Raw genomic sequence first — 18,622 nt, 5'->3', positions numbered from 1 at the left:
CCTTCCTGCCTAACATCTTTTCAGGCACTTGTTGGCCATTTGCATATCTGTGTAGAATCGTCTATTCAAGTCCTTTGTCCATTTTTCAATTGAATTATTATTATTATTTTTTGAGATGGAGTTTCACTCTTGCCGCCCAGGCTGGAGTGCAATGGTGCGAACTCGACTCACTGCAACCTCCGCCTCCTGGGTTCAAGCAATTCTCCTGCCTCAGCCTCCTGAGTAGCTGGAATTACAGGTGCACACTGCCACGCCAAGCTAATTTTTGTATTTTTAGTGGAGATGGGGTTTCACCATGTTAGCCAGGCTGGTCTTGAATACTTGACCTCAGGTGATCCACCAGCCTCGGCCTCTCAAAGTGTTGGGATTACAGGCATGAGCCACCACGCCCAGCCTGAATTACTATTTTTTGTTGTTGTTAGGTTATAGATTATTCTTATATATTCTGGATATAAACTCCTCATCAGATATGATTTGCAAATATTTTCTCCCATTCCACATATTGCCTTTTCATTCTTTTGCTTCTTTTGATGTTCAGAAGTGTTTACCTTTGATATAGTACCATTTGTCTGTTCTTGCTTTTGTTGCCTGTGCTTTTAGTGTTATATCCAAGAAATCAATGCCAAATCCAATGGCCTGAAGCTTTACCCTATGTTTTATTCTAGGAGTTTTACAGTTTTACATCTTACATTTAGGTCTTTGATCTATTTTGAGTTAATTTTTGTATATGGTATAAGTAAGGGTCCAACTTCGTTGTTCTGCATGTGGGTGTCCAGTTTCCCTAACACCATCTGTTAAAGAGACTGTCCTTTACCCAGGTAGTCTTGGCACTCTTGTTGAAAATCATTTGGCCATAATTGCAAGGGTTTATTTTTGAGCTCTCCATTCTTTTAATGATTTTTAAAGGGTTATAATTCAGCATGTAGTCATGTACTTTAGCCACTCATTAGATATTATAGTTAGTTATTTTTGTTGGGATATATATCTAAGTACAGATAAGCCCCTTAGCTAACTTGAAGTAGCAGAATGCATAGTTTTTCTCAGGTGGAAATGTCTTCAAACTCATCTCTTCAGGATCCTTTTCTGGCCTGTGTTTCCCCTGTATGCTGCCACCATCTTTTGTTAAATTCCTGGAATTTCTTTTTTTTTTTGAGACAGTCTCGCTCTGTCACCAGGCTGGAGTGCAGTGACGTGATCTCAGCTTACTGCAACCTCTGCCTCCTGAGTTCAAGGGATTCTCCTGCCTCAGCCTCCCAAGCAGCTGGGATTACAGGCGTGCGCCACCACACCTGGCTAATTTTTATATTTTTAGTAGAGACGGGGTTTCACTATGTTGGCCAGGCTGGTCTCAAACTCCTGACCTTAAGTGATCCACCCGCCTCAGCCTCCTAGAGTGCTAGGATTACAGGCGTGAGCCACCGTGCCTGGCTGGAATTTCTTCTTTTTGTGTGTTTGTTTTTCTCACCGTCTTCAGTGCTGAGGAATTTCATTTTGACCTAGACACTAATCAGTCTCTTTTGCAACCATAATTTCAATGCATACATTAATTCATTTTTGTGTCGTTTTTTAAAAAATGTAAATATGATCTGCTTTTATTTAGTTAAGAAAAAAGAGTGGCCAGGCATGGCAGATCATGCCTGTAATCCCAGCACTTTGGGAAGCCAAGGTGGGCAAATCACTTGAGCCCAGGAGTTCAAGACCAGCCTGGGCAACATGGTGAAACCCATCTCTGCTGAAAATACAAAAATTAGCCAGATGTGGTGGAGCACGCCTGTGGTCCCAGCTACTCAGGAGGCTGAGGCGGGAGGATTGCTTGAGCCCAGGAGGTCAAGGCTGCAGTCCCCCGTGATTGCACCACTGCACTCCAGCCTGTACAACAGAGTAAGACCCTGTCTCAAAAAACAAAAAACAAAACCAAAAAGAAAAGGAAGCAGCAAGTTGACTGCTAACCATGTTACAGGCACTGTCCTAGGTGTTACAGATACAAAGAGGAAGATGCTGTATTACTATGTTGTTTACTCTAGCACTTTCTTCTGGCCCAAGAACTCCTAGAGAACTGAACCAAATACCTAGTTTCATGCATTTGAGGTCTGAAAGAAAGCCAGTGTTGGAAGGATTAATGAATGAGAGAGAGACTGATAGATGTCTTAGAGAAGTAGGCAGGGGCCAGCTGATAATATAATTTTAGACTTTTATCTTAAATTCAGTGGAAAGCTACTGAAAGTTTTTAAGTGGGAGACAGGAAGGATCAACCCTGAATTAAAAAAAAATCTGATTTAATGTGGAGAATATATTGGAGAGGGCAAGAATGGATATAATTTGAAATGTTATTTTTATAGAAAGTCTTAGCGGTTGATAAATCTTATATTTTATGACAACCTGATTTGTTAAACTGTAAGATCAAAATGAATTAATGACACATTTTCTTCATACGTCTCACAACAAAAAGTGGCAAAATAGCCTAGCTACTCAGAAGGCTGAAGTGGGAGGATTGCTTGAGGCCAGGAGCTCAAGGCTGCTGTGAGCTCTGATTGTGCCACTGCACTCCAGCCTGGGTGACAGAGCAAGACCCCATCTCTTCAAAAAAAAAAAAGGGTGGGGGGCAAAATAGCAGTAGCACAACTTACATACCCTCACCACCCAACTTGGTTCTTTAATACTACTGTATTAGCCTCTCAAAGGAGTCTCCTTAAAGTAAGGAGCCTCTCAAAGTAAGTCTCCTTAAAGTTCAGCTGATTCCATATGTTAAAGGAAGAAAAAGTTAAGGATGGGCCTGGCACATCCTACTGTACCAGAAAACAAAGAAACAGTCAAAACAAAACCAAAGGTACTAGCTTGAAGTGGCTAAGTTGTAATAATTAGAGCATCAATACTAATTATTGCTAAGTAAATATATAAATATTTTGAAATGCTATGAGTTCATAATGGTACTCGAGTGAAAATATAAAGTATGAACAAAGTAGTTGTTACATTAAAGAAGTAAATATCATAGATTTTGTTTAATTTTTATGGCTTCCAATAAGTAGTGGTGTGCTAATATACCTGGATAATTTGTTTCTTCTAAGTATATGTCTGTGTATAAAGTATAAATAGGTATTTGTTTTACTTGTGTAAGTAAAGAAAATTATTGAGAACTGTAAGTCAAATATCCCAGGAAAAGTAGCACCAAAAATAGGAAGACTAATCAACAGTGGTGGTAGCAAGTAAAAAGGAAAGAAAGGGTATTAGCAGTATGTTGCAGAATGGTGATATAGTCAGATGTCCTAAAAAGGATGAACTAACTGCTCAGACTTGATTTCTTATTTCCTTGAAGATTAAATTTCTAAATGGGCCTACCATTGATAGTTGTAAAATAAGGCACATATAAAGTTTACACTAACAGATTAGGTCGATATATCCTAATAACAGAATATGAGTTATGTAATTTTGATCAGAGAGAATGAAAGAATACATCATTTCTGTGGGTGACATTAGGTTGTAAAATTTTTTATATTATATAAAAGGAGTAAACTTATCGATATAATACATGAGATTTAAATTTAAAAAGAATGCCTAATGACCAGCAGCTTGAGTTTAAATCACTTCAGGAATAGCAAACAAATATCATTATCTGACCAAAAATCAGTTGATAACCCAAATCTCATAACCCTAACAGTAATGTTTCACTTTGTGGTCTGGTGAGACTACCACAAGCCCAAGGAGGCACCAAAAGTAAGTATTACTACAACTATTGGAAGGTATCAAATAAGTAAAACTGGAGCCCTGGGAAAAAGTATAGGAATAATTTTTTAAATGAATTAAAACTATGATATTATATTTTACAGTAGATTTAAGTATAGGCATAGGTTTCAAAGTAATCCTATTTGGGTTTATTTTGCTACTATTTAAAAAGTCTGAGGTGTTCAAAAGATTTTGCCATTTAAAAACTACTTTGGGCTGGGCGTGGTGGCTCACACCTGTAATCCCAGCACTTTGGAAGGCCGAGGCGGGCAGATCACCTGAGGTCAGGAGTTCAAGACCAGCCTGGCCAACATGGTGAAACCCTGTTTCTACTAAAAATACAAAAATTAGCCGGGCATGGTGCTGGGCGCCTGTAATCCCAGCTAATCAGGAGGCTGGGGCAGGAGAATTGCTTGAACCTGGGAGGCGGAGGTTACAGTGAGCTGAGATTGCACCATTGCACACTGCACTCCAGCCTTGGTGACAGAGCAAGATTCTGTCTCAAGAGAAAAAAAAAGAAAAAAGAAAAAAAAAAGTCTGGGTGCGGTGGTTCATGCCTGTAACCCCAGCACTTTGGGAGGCTGAGGCGGGTGGATCATGAGGTCAGGAGTTCGAAACCAGCCTGGCCAGTATGGTGAAATCCCGGGCATGGTGGCACACACCTGCAGTCCCAGCTACTCGGGAGGCTGAGGCAGAAGAATCACTTGAACCCAGGAGGCAGAGGTTGCAGTGAGCCAAGACTGCGCCACTGCACTCCAGCCTGGGCGAGACAGCAAGACTCCGTCTCAAAAAAAATAAATAAATAAAAAATAAATCACTTTTTCAACTTTTTTTTCAAAAAAGTTTTAAAGTCTTTTTCTTAGACTTCGACATTTTAAAAAACCATTCTATTTACACATTTATGCCAAGAAGGAAGTGTCCATATTTTTGGATATATGTAAATATATATAGATATATAGACCTGAATAATAAGAATATCCTTAAGCACTATTATATGGTTTGAATATTTGTCCCCTCCAAAATTCACGCTGAAATTTAGTACCTAATTTGGCAGTGTTGAGAGGTGGAGCCTTTAAGGGGTAATTGGATCACGGGAGTTCTGTCCTCATGAATGGTTTAATCCATGTATGGATTAATGGGTTATCATGGAAGGGGAACTGGTAGCTTTATAATAAGAGAAAGAGAAACCTGAGTTGGCATATTAGCATGTACAGCCCCCTTGCCATGTGAGTCCCTGTACTGCCTTGGGACCCTGCAGAGAATCCCCACCAGCAAGAAGGTCCTGCCCCTTGACCTTGGACTTCTCAGCCTCCAGAACTGTAAGAAATAACTTCCTTTTCCTTATAAATTACCCAGTTTCAGGTATTCTGTTACAAGCAACAGAAAACAGACTAATCCACTACAGGAAAGGTCTAACTTTTTGAACAAAATTACATAATGAAATTTTAATATACACAAAGACTATGGACAATCTTACAGAATTTGCTATGCTTTACTAAATACTAATAAGTAGGAAGAAGTATTTTAATCCCTTAATACAACTGGTAGGACATAATACTTGCATATTAGGGCACATTGAAGTACTTACATAATGGAATACTCACATAGTAGAATCTCTTTCTTGAGACAAGGTTGTTTCATATGAAGCGGAAACAGCAGAAGGGGATCTAGGATACAATCTATAACCTTCACTTGGAGTGATTATCTGCCTACCTAGAATCCTTCAAAATGAAGAAACACAGACACAATTAAGTACCTTCACTGGCATACATACAAAATCTAGATATATTTTGGACACATTTGATGGCTCAACATAAAAGTCCAGTATACAGTCTGATACTGATTAAGAATGAGAAAATGTGAATCCAGAGCCTTACTACAGGTATATCTCTTCCATAGAATGGAGATGGAAAAGATAAACCTATAGCCCAGCTGTTAAAAAAAAAAATACAAGAAATCTAAGCAAACATCTGTAATCTGCCCTTCATGCTCTATAATAGTCCTCATTAAATCAGTCAAAATGGGATGGAGGCCCAGCCAAATTAGTAAAAACTACGAATTATATTCTTAAAAACGTGAAGCTTTGTAAATTTTGAGTATGTGCAATAAGTGGTACTACTGCAGTTTCTGAAGGAAGCTCTTGAATAGCCTATGTCTGGTTTCAAGTATACATAAGAATTTAATTGTATACAACAGTGTACATTTTCTGACCATCTTGTTCAAAAGAAGGGCTTTTTGATACTCAGATACTCAGACCTCAGCTGCTGTTGTAGAAATAGTTTTTACTTGATTAGGATCACATATTGTTAGTTAAGGAAACTCTAAGAAACTTCTACCAACTTAAGTTTTCTCTTAGCCAAGGCTTTATACCACATGGCCTTATTTACATTCATTAAAGTCATGCTCATAAAGATTTCAGAATACAAGCTTTTTTTTTAAATCTACTTTTTAAATTTTAGTATTAGCCATGAATACAAGTCAACTGGAGGGCTTCAGTACCTGAGGTGAGGAAAGCTAGCTGTCCACTGTTGGCACTCTTCTTGTAGACTCTTGGTATGCACACTCAACTTCTGCTCATACAAGAGTTCATCAATGGCTGTGAACATTGTCTGGACTTTTTCAGTGGCATTTTGATCGAGTTCCTAGAAGAAAATATTCCCCCCAAATATTTAGGTGAGCTGATTCACTCTCTGTTAAAAATTATAAAGATTAAAAGCAGTAAGACTTGTTTTGTTTACATATTTAGTCTACTTGAAATACTGCTGTGTTTCCACGAAAGAAAAGTTAAATTAGTGAGTTTTCAGATCTCGGAATTTTCAGGTATCTTCTCCATTCATATTTAAAGAAAATTTAGATAAATGTCTGTTTTTTAGGCTGGTCCAAGTACAGTGGTGTTTACAGCTAATTGATCACAACCACTTTATGGATTTCTTTGTTTCCTCTCCACTCCTACTGCTTCACTTGATTAGCCTAAAAAAAAAAAAAAAAAAAAAAAAAAGGCCAGGCGTGGTAGCTCACGCCTGTAAACCCAGCACTTTGGGAGACCAAGGTGGGTGGATCACTTGAGGCCAGGAGTTCAAGACCAGCCTGGCCAACATAGTGAAACTCCATCTGTACTAAAAACACAAAAATTAGCCAGGCGTGGTAGTACACACCAGTAATCCTAGCTACTTGGGAGGCTAAGGCACAAGAATTGCTTGACCTGGGAGGCACAGGTTGTAGCAAGCCAAGATTGTGCCATTGCACTCTATTCTAGCCTGGGTGACAGAGCTAGACTGTGTCTCAAAAAAAAAAAGTCTATATTTTTAAAAGTAACATATTCTTATATACAGTATTAATTGTAAACACTTTGAAAAATACAGAAAAGTATAAAGAAAAAATAAAAATTACCTGTAATTCCACCGTTCAAAGATAGATTGCTAATTTTAGTACAGTTGCTTGGTTTCACTATTTTTTAGATGGAAAACCCTGTGTATATTACTTTTTATACTGCATCTTTCACTTGACAATTGACAACTTATGTCCTTGACCTCTGTAATCCAGCCTTTAAGAATAGTCAGGCCAGGCACAGTGGCTCACACCTGTAATCCCAGCACTTTGCGAGGCCAAGGTGGGGTGGATCACCTGAGGTCAGGAGTTCCAGACCAGCCTGGCCTACATGATGAAACCCTGTCTCTACTAAAAATAAAAAAAATTAGCTGGGTGTGATGGCGGGTGCCTGTAATCCCAGTTACTTGAGAGGCTGAGGCAGGAGAATCGCCTGAACCTGGGAGGCGGAGGTTGCGGTGAGCCGAGATTGTGCTATTGCACTCCTGCCTGGGCAACAAGAATGAAACTCCGTCTCAAAAAAAAAAAAAAAAAGGCCAAGGCGGGTGACTCATGCCTGTAATCCCAGCAATTTGGGAGGCCGAGGCGGGAGATCCTGAAGTCAGGAGTTCGAGACCAGCCTGACCGACATGGAGAAACCCTGCCTGTACTAAAAATACAAAATTAGCTGGGCGTCACGGCTCACGCCAGTAATCCCAGCTACTTGGGAGGCTGAGGCAGGAGAATCTCTTGAACCCGGGAGGCGGAGGTTGTGGTGAGCCAAGATCGTGCCATTGCACTCCAGCCTGGGCAACAAAAGCAAAACTCCGTCTCAAAAAAGAAAACAAAAGCCAAAAACCAGAATAGTCAGAGGGCTGGGCATGGAGGTTCACACCTGTAATCTCAGCAACTCAGGAGGCTGAGTGGGGAGGATCACTTGAGGCCAGAAGTTTGAGACCAGCCTGGGCAACATCACAAGACTGCCATCTCTAAAAAAAATAAAAAATTAGCCAGGCATGGTGGTCTGTGCCTATAGTCCCAGCTACTCAGGAGGCTGAGGTGGGAGGACTACTTGAGCCCTAGAGTTCGAGGCTGTAGTGAGCTATGATTGTGCTACTGCTAGCCTGGGTAACCAAGTGAGACCTCATCTCTTAAAAAAAAAAAAAAAAAGCAGTCAGAGGGATGGTTACAAAATGCAAATCTGATCATTTTCTTCAGATTCCTTGCTTATCCTCTACTACATCTAAATTTACACATCCTTTTACATTCCAGTGTTCCAGTGGGAGAAAAGTCATATCTATGTTTGAAAATAATGTATTTTCACCCTAAAAATGAAAGTCAACCCCTACCCAATAAAAATTATATCTATCTGTCTGGGAGTGGGTTTTTTTTTTGTTTTTTGTTTTTTAATTTGTCCAAAGCTGGCGATGGTGGCCGACACCTGTAGTCGCAGTGAATCAATCAGGAAGCAGAGTTAGGAGGACTGCTTGAGCCCGAGAGTTTGAGGCTATACTGGACCATGGTGGCACTTGTGGCTAGCCATTGTGTTCCAACCTGGACAATATAGCAAGACCCCTCTCTAAAAAAATTGTCTTTCACCTGATAGACTTTTCAAACATGTCTTTCTTCGGGTCTAAAAAAAAAAAAAAATCAGTGACTACTTCTTTGAACATTGCCTCTTTCTTATTCTCTAAAATTTCTGTTAGAAATATATTGCAGTTTCTTAATCCATCCTCCATGTCTCCTAACTACTCTTCAAATTCTGTCTTTAGTTCCCTGGTTCTAGGTGATTTTCTTAGTTCTAGCATTCAATTAGCTACTATCTGTTTCACTGGGTCCAGCTTACCTTGTATATTGAGATATTTCAAATGCTATTCATTTTGAAGATGTTTAACTGGTTCTTCATATTTGCCTGTTCTTAAGTTAATATCTTTACCTGCTTTGTTTTAAAACCTCTAATAATTTAAATAGATGTTATCTTGTCCTTTAACTCTTTGAGGACTTTAAAATTTTAATCAACTTTACTGAGGAATAACTTACATTCAACAAAATGCACATTTAAGTGTACAGCAAATGAGATTTGACAAAATATTCACCCTAGTAACTAACATTCCTTTCCAGATATAAAACATTTCTCCTCACACTCCTTTGCAGCTTTTCCAAAATGTTGACTTATTTTTATCACTGTAAGTTACTTTTGTCTGGTCTAGAACTTCATATAATTGGGATTGTGCAGGATGCACTTTTTGTGTTTGGCTTCCTTCATTCAGGAGAATCTTTTTGAGGTTCATTCATGTTATTGCATGTATTAATTATTCATTACATTCTATTGCTGAAAAGTATTTTGTTTTAAGACTATGCTGCAATTTGTTTATCCATTCCCCTGTTAAGGGACGTTTATGTTATTTTCAGTATTTGTTTATATTGTTTGTTATGAATAAAGCTGATATAAACATTCATGTACAAGTCTTTTTCTACACATATGTTTTCATTTTTCTTGGATAATAGCTAGCAGTGAAATTGCTGTCACATAATAAATGTATGTTTAAAGAAATTACTAAACTATTTTATAGGATGGATGTACAATTTAGCACTCCTACCAGAAATGTGTGAGCATTAAACCTGCTCCACATCCATTCCAGTACTAGGTATTGTCAGTCTTTTTAATTTTAGCAATTTTTGTAAATGTGGAGTGGTGTTATCTTCCCAGTTTTCAATTTGCATTTTCTCTATAATTCATCATATGGAGCATCTTTCTACATGCTACGTGGCCATTTATGTCTTTTTCTTTCATGGAATGTCTTTTCAAGTCTTTTGCCCATTATTTCACCTTTTAATTAATTAATTAATTAATTATTTTTTAGAGATGGGGGTCTCACTTTGTTGCTTAGGCTGGTCTCAAATACTTGGGATCAAATGATCTGGTGGCCTCAGCCTCTCAAAGTGTTGGGGTTACAGGCACAAGCCACTGTGTCTAGCCTTTTTTTTTCTTTTTAATATGGAGTTTTAAGAGCTCTTTATATACTTTGGATACAAGTCAGATATTGGAAATATTCTCTCCCAATCTGTGATCTGTCCTTTCCTTCCTTCCTTCCTTCCTTCCTTCCTTCCTTCCTTCCTTCCTTCCTTCCTTCCCTCCTTCCTTCCTTTTTTTTTTTCTTTTTTCTGAGACAGAGTCTCTCTCTGTCGCCCAGGCTGGAGTGCAGTGGCACGACCTCCTGCACCTCACTGCAACCTCCACCTCCCAGGTTCAAGCAATTCTCTGCCTCAGCCTCCAGAGTAGCTGGGATTACAGGTGCCTGCCACCACGCCTGGCTAATTTTTTGTATTTTTAAGAGAGACGGGGCTTCACCATCTTGGCCAGGCTGGTGTCCTTTCATTTCTTAATGAGGTATGTAAAAGTAAAAAAGATGTAAATTTTGAAGGAGTTAAATTTATCCATTTTCGTAGCTTATGCTTTTGGTGTGTCCTATTTATGAACTTGTTGCCTAATCCAAGGTCTTGATTTGATTATACATTTTCTTCTAAGGGATTTATAGTTTTTGCTCTTATATTTAAGTTTATAATTCATTTTGAGCAAATTTTTTATATGATGTGAATTCATCTTTTTGCACATGGATATCCAATTGTCCCAGCAACATTTGTTAAGGAAAAAAAATCCTTTTTCTATTGAATTGCCTTTGTACCTTTGTCAAAAATCAATGGATCCTAAATGTAAGAGTTTATTTCTGGACTCTCAATTCTGTTCTATTGACTACACGTCCATCTTTTTGTCAGTACCACACTGTTTTTGTTGTTGTTGTTGTTTTGAGTCGGAGTCATGCTCTGTCACTCAGGCTGGAGTGCAGTGGCACAATCTTGGCTCACTGCAACCTCTGCCTCCTGGGTTCAAGTGATTCTCCTGCCTCAGCCTCCTGAGCAGCTGGGACTACAGGCCTGCACCACCGTGCCCAGCTAATTTTTGTATTTTTAATAGAGACAGGGTTTCACCATGTTGGCCAGGCTGGTCTCGAACTCCTGACCTCAGGTGATTCACCCGCCTTGGCTTTCCAAAGTGCTGGGATTACAGGCATGAGCTACCATGCCCTGCCCACACTGTTCTGACTAATGTTTTGATATTAAGTTTTGAGATGTGGTAGTATATGTCCTCTAATTTTTTTTTGAGACAGAGTTTCACTCTTGTTGCCCAGGCTGGAGTGCAATGGTGCGATCTCGGCTCACAGCAACCTCCACCTCCTGGGTTCAAGCCATTCTCCTGCCTCAGCCTCCGGAATAGCTGGGATTACAGGCCTGCGCCACCACACCCGGCTAATTTTGTAATTTTAGTAGAGACGGGGTTTCTCCATGTTGGTCAGGCTGGTCTCGAACTCCAGACCTCAGGTGATCCGCCCACCTCGGCCTCCCAAAGTGCTGGGATTACAGGCGTGAGCCACCTCGCCTGGCCATATGTCCTCTAATTTTCTATTTCTGTTTCAATTTTTTTTTTTTTTTTTTTTTTTTACTAATCTGGATCCTTTGCAATTGCATATACATTTTAGGATGAGCTTATCAATTTCTATAAAAATGTCTCCTAGGATTTTGATAGAGAGTGCACTGATATATAGATTAATTTGGGGAGAAATGCCATATTATTAATATTTTGTCTTCCAATTCATGAACAAGGAATTTTCTTCATTTATTTAGATCTTCTTTAATTTCTCTCAGCAATGTTTTGAAATTTCCAATGTACAAGTCTTGTGTTGCTTCTGTTAAATTTATTGCTAAGAACTTTTTTTATTCTATTGTGATTTTTAAATTTTCATTTTCAGATTGTTCACTGCCAATGTATAGAAATACAAATTTTTAAATTTAGATATAATTCACACACCATGAAATTCACCCTTTTAAATTGTCAAATTCAGTGTTTTTAGTATATTCGCAGTTGTACAACTATCACCAGTATCTTAATTCTAGAATATTTTATCACCCTTAAAAGAAACTGTTTCCATTAGCAGTCATCCCCCATTCCTCTCTCTGCCCAGCCCCTGGCCACCAATAATCTACTTTCTGTCTCTATGGAATTGCTCTTCTGGGCAATTCATATAAATGGAATCAAACAATATGTGATGTGTCATGTCTGGCTTCTTTCACTTAGCATGTTTTGAAGGTTCATCCAAGTTGTAACATGTATCGGAACTTCTTTCATTTTTATGGCTGAATAATAATCGCATTGTATGAAAACCATATTTTTGTAAATTGTTCTTGTATACTGTGACCTAACTGAACTAATTTATTAGTCCTATTAGATTTGGGGGGTGGTAATGCAGGGAATGTAAATTTTCTGGATTTTCTTTACATCATGGTATCTGTGAATAAAGACATTTTTATTTCTTCCTCTTCAATTTGAATGCCTCTCTTTGTCTTGTTGCACTAGCTCCAATACAATGCTGAATAGAAGTGGCAAGAGTGGACATCCTTACCTTGTTCTAAATCTTAAGGGGAAGGTATCCAGTCTTTTCTTGTTACATATAATAACGTTAGTTCTAACTTTTTTGTAGATGCCCAACCTTTCAGGTTGATTAAATTCCCTTTTATTTCTTGTATGTTGAGTGTTTTTTTAATTATGAATGGGTGTTAGATTTTGTCAAATGTTTTTTCTATGTTACTGTTAAGATGATCATGTCATTTTTGTCCTTTATTCTATTAATATAATGTATTAAATTAGTTGTTTTTCTTTTTTTCACCATCCGTCTACCCAGATGAAGAGTTGTTTTTCTAATGTTGAACCAGCCGTGCAATCCTGGGATAAATCCTATTTACTCACTTGGTCAGGGTAAATAATCCTTTTATGTGACTAGATTTGGTTTGTTAATGAAGTTTTTGTGTCTAATTTCAAGAGGCATACTGGTTTGTAGTTTTCTTGTGATGACTAACTTTGGTATCAAGGTCATACTGGCTTCATAGAATGAGTTAGGTAGGAACTGTTCTTTCTTTTCTGAAAGAGTTTGTGAGGGATTGGTATTATTTCTTCTTTAAATATTTAAGTGTATATAGAAATAAGTTGATTTTTACATATTGATCTTGCACCTTGTGGCATTGTTAAATTCATATATCAGTTCTAATTTTTTTCTTTTCTTTTCCTTCTATTCCTTAGAATCTCTTATATGAAGAATTCTTGTCTTTGGTTTTGGTATCAGTGTAATACTGGTCTCATAGAATGAATTGGAAAGTGTTCTTTGATTTTCTGAGTCTGATTTCTTCTTTAAATATTTGATAAAGTTTACTAGAATTTAAATATTTGATAGAGTTTACTAGCGCATCTGTGCCTGGACTTCTTTGTGGGAAGATTTTGTATTTGTTTATTTGTTGAGACAGAGTCACTCTGTTGCCCAGTGGAATGCAGTAGTGTGATCATGGCTCACTGCAGCCTTGACCTCCCAGGCTCAAGCGATTCTCCCACCTCAGCCTCCCAAGTACCTGGGACTAAAGGCACGTGCCACCATACCTGGCTAATTGTTTTAGTTTTCATAGAGATGGGGTCTCACTATGTTGCTCAGGCTGGTCTCAAACTACTGGGTTCAAGTGATCCTCCCTCCTTACCTCCCAAAGTGCTGAGATTATGGGCATGAGCCACTGTGATCAGCTGAAAGATTTTTAATTATTAATTTAGTTTATTTAAATAGAAATTACATAGATAGAAATAACCCAATTAGATTGGTATGGAGCTGTTTAAATTTTTAATTTTTCTTTAAGTCAATTTGTTAATTTATGTCTTTCTAGGGATTTGTCCATTACATCTAAGTTATCTAATTTGTTGCCATTGTTTACTGAATTCTCAGAGTACTTTCTGTAGGGTTGAGTTATGCCCTCTCTTTCATTCCTGATCATGTCAATCTCTCTTCTTTCTTGATCAAACCAACTAATGATTTGTCAATTTACTGACTTCTTTTCAAAGAAACAGCTTTTGACTTTATTTTCTCTATTGTTTTTCTGTTTTATTAATTTCTATCTTATCTGTATTATTTCCTTCTTTCTGCTTTGCTTTGGATTTAGTTTGTTCTTCTTTAGTTTCTTAAGGTGGAAACAAATTATTGAGACATCCCTGTTTTTCTGTAGACATTTAAAGCTATTCATTTCCTCCTAGCTGCATCCCATAAATGTTTATATTTTGCTTTTCCCTTTTCTTTCAGTTCAAAATATTTTCTACTTTCCCTTATAGATTCCTTTTTCAACCCATGGGTTATTTAGAAGAGTGATGTTTAATTGCCAAATATTTGAGGATATCCCAACTGTATGTTGTTGATTTATAATTTAATTCCAAGGTGGCTGGAGAACATACCTTGTATAATTTAAATCTTTTTATAGTTAAAAAACTTGCTTTATGTGTGCTTGAAGAGTATCTACACTGCTGTCACTGGGTGGGATGTCAGTTAGGTCAGGTTGGTTGATAGTACTGTTCAGGTGTTTAATATCCTTGCTGATTTTCTGTCTAGGTGGTCTACAAGTATTGAGAGTGGGGTATTAAAGTTTCCAGCTATAATTGCTACAATATTTCTCCTTTCCATTCAGTCATTTTTTGCTTCACCAACTTTAAGACTTGGTTATTAGATGTTACATTTATAACTACTATATTTTCCTGATGAATTGACCCTTTTATCATTATAAAATGTCCCTCTTTGTTTCTAGTAGTATTTTTTCTTTTAAAGTTTATTTTGTCTTAGTTCAAATTCAAGCAGTTTTTGCATCTGATTTTAATTTCTGGATGCCCTCTTGTATCTTCTCTGCATTTGCAAGCTGACTCACGGTCAGCCAGGGATGTGTAGATAGCTTAGTCAGTCCTGTGTGGATGTGTGGAAAGCTTATCAAGGCCTCCTGTGACCGTCTTATTTCCCAGATATCCTTAATAAATTCCTGGATAGTTTGCCAATCCATTGTTTGTCCCAGCCAGGACTAAAACCTCAAGCTATCTGAGCAACTGTTTTTCCTACCAAGTTTACTACTGTTACTTACATGCTGTTGGGCATAGGGTCTCTCCAGGTTCACTCCAAACCTACTGAGCCTTCTCCAACAGTGAGGCTGCTAGTTTTCACAGCGTGTCCCTCTGTAGTAGAATAGTCTCTCACTGTTCTTAACCCAAAGTTCTATTGATTTTCATGAATAATTGCTTCTTTATTTGTTATATGCTTTTTGTCAATTTGCAAAGCCTTTAAACAGTTGCACCTCACCATTTTGTCCAGTTTCATTGTTGCTTTTGGGGAGGAGGATTTGCCGAGCTATTTATTCTGATACTAAAAGTCCCACCTCATAATTTTTTGTTATTACATTGTCTTTCTCAGGTTTTAGCATCAAGACTCTGCTGACCTTATTATGAACTGAATTGAGAAGTATTCCTTATACTTTTTGGAAAAAAGTTTGCATCATTGTTATTTCTTCCACAAATGGATGAGAGAATTCACCTGGGCCTAGAGCTTTCTCTGTGTGAGAACTGTTTCATTTAATTTCTTGAATAATTTTACAATAATCCACAAATATAATAACCTTATAAAAGTATAATTCCACTTATAGTCACCCATTATTTGAGCTATATTTACTTCTACAAGTATAAACTCCCTCTTTATACATTTTAGACACATTTCAGACACACACTTTATATATCATATACATATTAAATACAAGCATATATTTTGCTTTAATCAGTCAGTTGTCCTTTAAAGAAATCAGATAAAAAATATAGACTTTTATATTCACCCATTAATTAATTTCTGGTTCTCTTCTCTTCCTCTACCCTGAACTCTCGTCTCTGCTCCTCAGCACAGTGGGACCACCATTGCTTTGCTTGGACTCTAGTTCACTCTTACACAGTCAGAAAATTGTCCCCAGGCAGGGAGACAGAGACAACAGGAGGGGATCTGTACAGGAGGAAGGCCTGGTGTGCGATAGGAGCCCAAGAAAGGTAAGAGAGTGCCTAAGCAGTTTTTATGACCTTAAGCAGCAAGAGAGGAGTGCTTCAGTTACTCTGGCAGTGTAACAAATTACTGCAAAACTTAATAGCTTAAAACAACAATAATCATGTATTATCTCTCCGGGTTTATGTGGGTCAGGAATTTATATAGAGGCACAGCAGGAATGGCTTATCTCTGCTCCACAATATCTGAGGCCTTAGTCAGAAGACTCAAAGGCTGGGAGCTGAAAACATCTTAATGCTCATTTACTCACATGTCTGGCAGCTGATGCTGGCTTTCAACTGGGGCTTTAATTCCTCTCTACATGAGCCTTTTCATGTGGTCTGAACTTCCTCGCAATATGATGGCTGGATTCTGAGGTCCACCATTCAGATGAGAGAGATGGAAAGAGCCAGCCAGAAGCTGTGTTGCTTTCTAACCTAGAAAGTCATGCAGCAAGGCTGGGTGCAGTGGCGCATGCCTGTAATCCTAACACTTTGGGAGGCCAAGGTGGGCAGATCACTTGAGGTCAGGAGTTCGAGACCAGCCTGGCCAACAAGGCAGAACCCCGTCTCTACTAAAAATACAATTAGCCAGGCATGGTGGTGCAAAACTGCAATCCCAGCTACTCAGGAGGCTGAGGCAGGAGAATCACTTGAATCTAGGAGGCAGAGGTTGCAGTGAGCCGAGATTGTGCCACTGCACTCTAGCCTGGGCTACAAGAGCTAAACTCCATTTAAAAAAAAAAAAAAAAAAAAAGACACAGACTGGGTGAATGGATGAAAAAACAAGACCCATTGATCTGTTGCCTACAAGAAACACACTTCACCTATAAAGACACATACAGACTGAAAATAAAGGGATGGAAAAAGATATTCCATACCCATGGTAACCAAAAAAGAGCACAAGTAGCTATACTTGTATCAGACAAAACAGATTTCAAGACAGAAACTATAAGAAGAGATAAAGAAGGTCACTATATAATGATAAAGGGAGATCAATTCAGCAAGAACATATAACAAATTTAAACATATATGAACCCAACACTGGAGCACCCAGATATATAAAGGAAATATTATGAGAGCTAAAGAGAGATATAGGTCCCAATACAATAAGAGTTGGAGACTTCAACACCCAACTTTCAGCATTGCACAGATTTTCCAGACAAAATCAACAAAGAAACATCAGACTTAATCTGCACTACACGCCAAATGGATCTAACATATTTACAGAAGATTTCGCCTAACAGCTGCAGAATACACATTCTTTTCCTCAGCACATTGATCATTCTCAAGGATGGACCATATGTTAGGTCACAACACAAGTCTTAAGACCAAAAAAACTGAAATAATATCAAGCATCTTCTCTGACCACAATGGAACAAAACTAGAAATTAATAACAAGAGGAATTTTGAAAGCTATATAAACACATGGAAATTACACAAGTTCCCCCTGAATGACCAGTGGGTCAATGAAGAAATTAAGGAGACTGAAAAATTTCTTGAAACAAATGATACTAGAAACACAACATATCCAAACCTATGGGAAACAGCAAAAGCAATACTAGGAGGGAAGTTTACAGCTGTAAGTGCCTACAACAAAAAAGAGAAAAAACTTCACATGAACAATCTAATGATACATCTTAAAAGAAACTAGAAAAGCAGCTGGGTGTGGTGGCTCACGCCTATAATCCCAGCACTTTGGGAGGCCAAGGCAGGCGGATCATGAGGTCAGGAGATCGAGACCATCCTGGATAACGTGGTGAAACCCTGTCTCTACTAAAAAAAATACAAAAAATTAGCTGGGTGTGGTAGCAGGCACCTGTAGTCCCACCTACTTGGGAGGCTGAGGCAGGAGAATGGTGTGAACCCGGGAGGCGGAGCTTGCAGTGAGCCGAGATCGTGCCACTGCACTCTAGCCTGGGTGACAATGCGACACTCCGTCTCAAAAAAAAAAAAAAAGAACTAGAAAAGCAAGAGCAAACCAAACCCAAAATAAATAATAAAGATCAGGGTAGAAATTAATGAAATTTATGATTACTAGAGGCTGGGAAGGGTAGTGGGGGGGTGAGGATTGGGGAGATGGGGTGGTTATTGGGTACAAAAAAAACAGAAAGAATGAATAAGACCTACTATTTCATAGCACAAAGGGTGAGTATAGTCAATAATAACTTAATTGTACATTTTAAAATAACTAAAAGAGTGTAATTGGATTGTTTGTAATTCAAAGGATAAACACCTGAAGGAATGGATTTTGTTTTAAGCCATGAAAAAGAATATTATAACATTCAATTTTTCTAAAGATAAAATCCTGACTAGTGAAGAAATGAAGGTCAAAAGTAAGATGGCTATATGTGAATATATTTTAAAAACCTGTTAGACTATAAATGCCAAAAGGAAAGCAAGGACATGGGAAACATCTGTATGACGTTTATAAGTTATAAAGAGATACAAATCATAATATAGAGAGAACTAATGGAAATATTTAGTCAGTATACTAAATCTTCCTGATGAGGCATCTAATTATTAGAATACAATTTAAATTCTTTGGCCTGCAGGGCCCTAATGATCTAGTCCCACCTACCTCTCTAATCTCATTTGTGCTTTTCTCCCCCTGGTTTTCCATCATCCAACCACCCTGACCTTTTATCAGTTGCAAGAATACACCAAACACTT

At 38.1% G+C, this 18,622-nt stretch overlaps 1 protein-coding gene and 1 long non-coding RNA gene across 10 annotated transcripts in view; one reads left to right on the top strand and one right to left on the bottom strand.

Annotated features, from left to right (window-relative positions):
• The window catches only part of FAM149B1 (family with sequence similarity 149 member B1), a 76,386-nt gene that overhangs the window by 45,587 nt on the left and 12,177 nt on the right, over nt 1-18,622 (bottom strand). For all 8 annotated transcript variants that reach the window (NM_173348.2, XM_005269744.3, XM_047425143.1 and 5 more), the window contains 2 exons: nt 6,220-6,362; nt 5,325-5,441 (listed from right to left, as the gene is read on the bottom strand). In NM_173348.2, coding sequence (NP_775483.1) covers nt 5,325-5,441; nt 6,220-6,362 — 260 coding nt within the window. The remainder of the gene's footprint in view (nt 1-5,324; nt 5,442-6,219; nt 6,363-18,622) is intronic.
• LOC105378358 (uncharacterized) lies at nt 12,164-16,468 on the top strand. Of its 2 annotated transcripts, XR_007062193.1 has the most exons (4): nt 12,164-12,509; nt 12,765-12,838; nt 15,342-15,483; nt 15,817-16,468. It is a non-coding gene; the product is annotated as an uncharacterized LOC105378358 (long non-coding RNA). The 2 variants fall into 2 exon arrangements; XR_001747499.3 differs by having other exon boundaries at nt 12,164-12,838.

This window comes from Homo sapiens, chromosome 10 (genome assembly GCF_000001405.40).
Source record: "Homo sapiens chromosome 10, GRCh38.p14 Primary Assembly".
In the NCBI taxonomy this organism is placed as follows: Eukaryota; Metazoa; Chordata; class Mammalia; order Primates; family Hominidae; genus Homo; species Homo sapiens.
This window is presented reverse-complemented; position numbering and strand designations above follow the sequence as displayed.